At 37.1% G+C, this 6,960-nt stretch overlaps 1 long non-coding RNA gene across 1 annotated transcript; it reads right to left on the minus strand.

Moving 5' to 3' along the window:
• Positions 1–3,955: 3,955 nt before the first annotated feature.
• Positions 3,956–6,229, minus strand: LINC01616 (long intergenic non-protein coding RNA 1616). The gene has a single exon (NR_132652.1). It is a non-coding gene; the product is annotated as a long intergenic non-protein coding RNA 1616 (long non-coding RNA).
• Positions 6,230–6,960: the final 731 nt, after the last annotated feature.

Genomic DNA, 6,960 nt, shown 5'->3' on the forward strand with positions numbered 1-6,960 from the left:
AGACATTTTAACTAAATTATCTGCTTCCCTGACTATTCCTGGGCTACAGCCACACCTCATTGCTGCCTTTTCCCCCAGTTCAAAGCCTCCTTCACATCCTCCCCTTGTACCTCCCCACCTTAAACCACAAGTATAGGACACCTCTACTCCCTCCTTGGCGACCGATCATGCACCACTTACCATCCCATTAAAACACAATCACCCTTACCCCGCTCAACGCCAGTATCCCATCCCACAGCATGCTTTAAAAGGATTAAAGCCTGTAGTCACTTGCCTGCTACAGCATGGCCTTTTAAAGCCTATAAACTCCCTTTACAATTCCCCCATTTTATCTGTACAAAAACCGGACAAGCCTTACAGGTTAGTTCAAGATCTGCTCCTTATCAACCAAATTGTTTTTGCCTGTCTACCCCATGGTGCCAAACCCTTATACTCTCCTATCCTCAATACCTCCCTCCACAACCCATTATTCTGTTCTGGATCTCAAACATGCTTTCTTTACTATTCCTTTGCACCCTTCATCCCAGCCTCTTCACTTTCACTTAGACTGACCCTGACACCCATCAGGCTCAGCAAATTACCTGGGCTGTACCGCCTCAAGGCTTCAGACAGCCCCCATTACTTCAGTCAAGCCCAAATTTCTTCCTCATCCATTACCTATCTCAGCATAATTCTCATAAAAACACACATGCTCTCCCTGCTGATTGTGTCCGGCTAATCTCCCAAATCCCAATCCCTTCTACAAAACAACCCCTTTCCTTCCTAGGCATGGTTAGTGTGGTCAGAATTCTTACACAAGAGCCAGGACCCCACGCTGTAGCTTTCTGTCCAAACAACTAGACCTTACTGTTTTAGCCTAGCCCTCATGTCTGCGTGCAGCAGCTGCCGCTGCCTTAATACTTTTAGAGGCCCTCAAAATCACAAACTATGCTCAACTCACTGCCTACAGTTCTCACAACTTCCAAAATCTGTTTTCTTCCTCACGCTTGACACATATACTTTCTGCTCCCAGGCTCCTTCAGCTATACTCACTCTTTGTTGAGTCTCCCACAATTACCACTGGTACTGGCCCAGACTTCAATCTGGCCTCCCACATTATTCCTGATACCACACCTGACCCCCACGACTGTATCCCTCTGATTCACCTGACATGCTCTCACCCTATTCATGTGGCCTGATACGCACTTCTGGCTTTTATTTCTCTTTCATAACAATGTGACAGCAGCAGATTTTAACTAATCACACTAATGACTAGAGACCCTTTGTGGAGTTTATGAATTAGTGATAAAGTGGAACAAATCTGCAAAGTAAAGGAAAATGCCTCATCAAACTTATTCATTTATTTTGACAAGAGCAATTTTGGTTTAATTACTTATGATGGCATTTCAGTAAATGTGCTGTAGCATGTTTTCTCAAATTAATTAAGCCCCCTTTTCCCACTAACACACTGTGCTTATAGAAAAAGGAAAAAAAAAACACATATTTCATTGAGACATTCACTGGTTTCTGGATTCCTTTGGGAAAATATATAAAAATTTTTCAAAATTGTTTCCTTTTGAATATATATTCCATAAACTCATCTGGAGAGAAAATTAGGTATTTATTGTAGAAGATAAATTTGGATATAAATTGAATTTGGAGCTAAATTTGCTTTTCTATTTGTAAAGTACATTGAAATATGTCCTAAGAGGAAAGCTTCAACTAAGCTGTTTTTACTACTTTCCACCAGAGAATCAGAAGCTGAAATAAAAAATGAAAAAAACCCTCTATTTACCAATTCATAGACTTTCTGGATTAAAACTAATTTTTGCCTAATATATTAATAGAAGCAATATTTTGTATTTTACACCTCCACAAATCATGTTATGAAATAACTCAATCCCACCACAGTGAAAATGAAGTCCTTTGGTTCTGTGATGAAAATTTTAATTTTTGGCTCACTCTGAATATGTTGGAGGATGTATAGCATATTGTTTTGGGTCAAGGACCCTGGAGGCAGACAAATTCGCTTCATACTCCAGTTCCACCGATTTCTCACCCATGTGACTTTGGATGGTGATATGGTTTGGCTGTGTCCGCACCCAAATCTCATCTTGAATTCCCATGTGTTGTGGGAGGGACCCAGTGGGAGATAATTGAATCATGGGTTGGGTCTTTCCCATGCTTTTCTCATGATAGTGAATAAGTCTCACAAGATCTTATGGCTTTATAAGACGGAGTTTCCCTGCACAAGCTCTCTTTGCCTGCCACATCCATGTAAGACATGACTTCCTCTTCCTTGCTTTCTGCCATGATTGTGAGGCCTCCCCAGCCATGTGGAACTGTAAGTCCATTAAATCTCTTTTCTTCCCAGGCTTGGGTATGTCTATCAGCAGTGTGAAAATGGACTAATACAGTTGGGTTCTTTATAATTACTGAACTTCAGTTTATAATCTTTTAAAAATGTAAATACTAATAATATAGTCCACATTATATTGTTGTGAGAATGAAATGATGTAATGCATGCAAAGGGTTTTATACTGTTCTGGCACATAACAAGCACGAATAAATGTTAACTATTTTTAGTAAGTTGATAACTACACGCTGTGGCCTTGAGGAACAGCTTGGTCCAAGCATAGGATTCAGAATTTGATTGCTACTAACACAGATTCACTCATTGACTTGGGGCAAACTAATGAAGTCTCCCAGGACACTGATTTTCACTCCACAAAATGGGATTTGGTGACTAATCAAGAGGAAAAGTCTGCACTTGGTGAATTGAAGTCCAACATAAATGTCCTTACAGCACATAATCACAATTTGTATTACCTTTATTTTTTACATAGAGTAAAATACATAATCCTCACTAACTCATGGTGAATAAGGCATATTTTAACTCATTAAAACTCTTCTCTGACCTTGGAAAAAGATGCTTAAATGAGTTTTATGTTTCAATGAAAAAAGTGGCACTTGTTCAAGTCTACTGCAAAAACTTTAGCACTTTAGCAAACTCAATTCAGGTTCATGGCTAAAGTTACACATTCTAATCTTATTGTCCCATGCTGCTCTTGAAGCAAACAGAAGACAGCCATGTTATGCATTGACAACAGGCACCAATTATATATACATGATAAACTGACATCAGGCTTCTTTGTGAAAATAACTTCCTATTTATATAAAGTATTATATAGTGATACTTAACTCCAAAACTCTTATTTCTCTTTAAGGCTAAAAACTCCTATGTTGTTGACGATTGGTAATGACTTCTGGATAACAGAGCCAGTTCTGCCAAGAGCACAAGAGGATAGTTCATTTGTCCTAAACTTAATTCTCAGGGCTGCCCAAGCAGCAGCAAGGCTGAGGCTGGAAAAATGACTCACAACACGGGAAAAACACACTCAAGAAAATTATGTGCCAGTAGCTAACAAACTAAAAATAATGGGATTGTATGTACTTTAAAAAAATTCTGAAGAAACTCAAATAACTAATACTTTATTATAATCGATCACCTGTTTTGACTGAATTAATGCTTTTGAGTCTTTCTTCTCTCCTTCCTTCACCATAAATAGCTTTTGATAGACATTTTTAATCATTTCATATTATAGTCCTCATTTACCATCTTTGCCTGATTTTATGCCTACTTACAGCCCAAAGACATGTAGAAATGATTTGGAGATTCTACAATCAATACACTTGCTCTGTACAGAGCCCAGCACAGGGCATGCAGGGAAAGAAATATAAAAGACTCCGTCCCTGCTCTCAAAGAGGATTATCCATCATGCTATGATCTCTTCTGCCCCATGCATTAGACAATGTGATTTGTATAAAGCTACATGAAAGCAAATACACAAACGTTAAGAATGTAAGCATAAGCTTACAAGTATCTCTGACACAAATTTCTCTATTTTTCTGCCTAGTAATCTACATTCTCATCTTTCCTAATGTAAGAATGAGAAAACAATATTCTGTACACGTATTTGAATTAGCTTTTTTATTGTCTTCAAATGCAGTATCTTAATTATACAGTAACAGGTGCTGAATTTATAGTACAACTATAGTAGATTTTGCATTCTTACATTACATAGCTGTGATACATACCTTGTTATAGCAGTCAGAGCCAGCCATCTAAACTTAAAAAAAGGTGGACACAAAAGAATCCTAACAAATTATATACAACTCACAAGTAGGGGATAGCACACCCCAGCTCTTTATCCTGACCTACTACTACCAAGTCAGAAAAGCTCTTATTTGAATGTATATGAAGAACAACAAAACAAAGCAGAACAATATACACCAACAACACAAGAACATATGCACGCGAGTACACACAAGTGCCCAGCAAATTTTACATCATTCTTTAAAAATTAGAGTTTCTAGTTGAGTGAACCACTGGATAATTTGAATCTGCTAACTTCTTTACACTGGGCATCTGTATTATGCTGTCTTCTGCCCCAATGAACTAACACATAAAAGAATCATCTTAACTGTCATGATTGTTAATGCTTTATTACACAAATCTAATATAATCAACTCATGATTTAGACTCAATGAATTTAAAATGTTTGATATGACCAAGAATTAAACTAAAGCTTAACTTTGTAACAAAAATGAAGTATTTGTAATCAAAACTGCAGAAAACAAACTTAACCTACTGAAAGACTTTGAAAGAGTCAATTGCGTGCAAATAGGAGTTTCTAATTATAAATAAATCTTAACTAATTGACTCTAACAGGACCTCTATTAGGAAGAATTTGTTAGCAAGGAATTTGAGGAGTAAACAATCTAACCACTGAGAAAGGACTTAAAGGAATTTCATTGAATTTATTTTTAGCACCATTCAGGTATTTCACTGGAATCTTGGCCCAATTACTCTGAGCACACAACCTAAAATGCAGTTTTAGTACTGAAAAAAAATGGCATAAGTAAATAATTAAGTAAATAATTTTTATAGTAGCCTTAACCCATATTTAAGTGTTTGACAATGGATACTAAGCAAATCAGAAGGTGCAAAGATCATCTGTAGACAATGTGGTGTCAGCATAACCTAATGCTTTATCAGGGGTGTCAAATATGCAGCTCAGCTCCTGTGAGGATATTTTCCTTCCCATGCCCAGGAGAGAGATCATTAATCTAATGTGTCACTCTCGTCAAGCTCAGACCATAGCCTTGAATCTTTCTATAGACATCCCTTTAGATATTGAAGAACAAATGTATAGAGTTAACACAAAAGGCAAACCTTAATTGTTATCCCAGCCTTAAACAATTAAAACCCCTTCTGAATCACTGATACATTTTCACATAGAAAGTCAGTTAAGTCTTTGTCCTCGGCTGAGGACATGAATGTTGAGATAGGGAAGGGGTTAAATGAGGTCTAACTAAGCATTCCACATGTGTATTTCCCATTCAATATTATTGCTTACAGAACAGAGATCTAAACTCCCCTACCAAGGACCTCTCAAAAGGCCATGGGATATTTTGGACACATAGCAAGTGTCAAAGCATATAGGTATTTGCTATTTTATTCTGAAAATATGTTTGTGTATCTCTCATAGCCAGGAAAAAGTATACAATGAAAAATAAACAGATTATTAGTAATATACAAGTAGATCATCTGGCTTGTATAACTACTTACTCAGCTCCAACTTCCAGTGCCCTAAGGTGAAGCCTCTCTAAACACCTTACCTCCAGGCCAGGTGGCAGAGGTTATCTTTAACACTTTTCACCTAGGAAAGCACTTAAATACATCTGGAGCCTTACTGCTCGAAGACTGCTAAAACACCAGTAGCATCAGTATCACCTGGGAACACGTTAGAAATGCAAAATCACTGCCCCCATGGAGACCAACTGAAGTAAATTCCGCATATTAACAAGATACCCAGCAAATGTACAGGCATATTAAAGTTTTAGAAGCATTAACTATACTCTTAGAAGCCCAGATCCAAGAGCTATTTCATAGAATTTCAAAAAAAATTCAAGAATGCTTATTTCTAATCCTGTAAATATCATTGACCAAATTCTATGAAACAAAAATCCAATAAGATACTCTGCCAAAAAATAAAAGGAGGAGGGGTTACATTTAAAAATGTGAGAAAGTCCACACATCATCCTCATGGAAATTCACTACACACATTAGCAGATTGTAGGCTCTGAGAAGTACCACAAAGAAACTAGTTTTACTGTTTAACTCAAAAATTCAAAAACAGTTCCTTTTTCAACTACTATTAACTGCCTATAGAGATCCTCTGAGAAAACTGCTACAGATTATAATTCCCTGTAGCATACATATATATATATATATATATATATGCACACACACACATATATATATATGCAACACAGGAAATATATATATACGCACACATATATATATGTGCAGCACACAGAAACTTGTACTACCTCATCCATGGGATCCATATTATAAGACAGAATTACAGTGAAGTCCTTTTGCTATATCTGGTTAAAACTAAAAAAGTAAAAGAAAAATGAAAATCTTGGTTAGGGCTCCAGAATTACCTGTATCAAAGTGAATTTTTGGTACATTAGATGGTATTCACAAGGCTCCTGTATATTTGCCTAGAGTCAAAGTACAAACAGGGACCTAGAGTTTGAAACTGACTCATTTTAATATAGCAGCACATCCTAAAAAAGATTTTAATGCCTTCAGCTCATGCTTTAGAGTTAGAAGTTCTTGGAGTTATTGTATTGCTCAAGATGATTCGCAAATACTGAGAACAGAATTCTGCCCTCACTTGTGACTATTTTATATCATTCACAATAAGAACATAATTGCTGTATTAGTCTGTTTCACACTGCTATAAAGATACTACCTGAGACTGGGTAATTTATAAACAAAAGAGGTTTCATTGACTCACACTTCTACATGGCTGGGGAGGCCCCAGGAAACTTACAATCATGGTGGAAGGCAAAGGGGAAGCAGGCACCTCCTTCACAAGGCAACAAGCAAGAGTACATGCACGCAGG

Source organism: Homo sapiens, chromosome 11 (genome assembly GCF_000001405.40).
Source record: "Homo sapiens chromosome 11, GRCh38.p14 Primary Assembly".
In the NCBI taxonomy this organism is placed as follows: domain Eukaryota; kingdom Metazoa; phylum Chordata; class Mammalia; order Primates; family Hominidae; genus Homo; species Homo sapiens.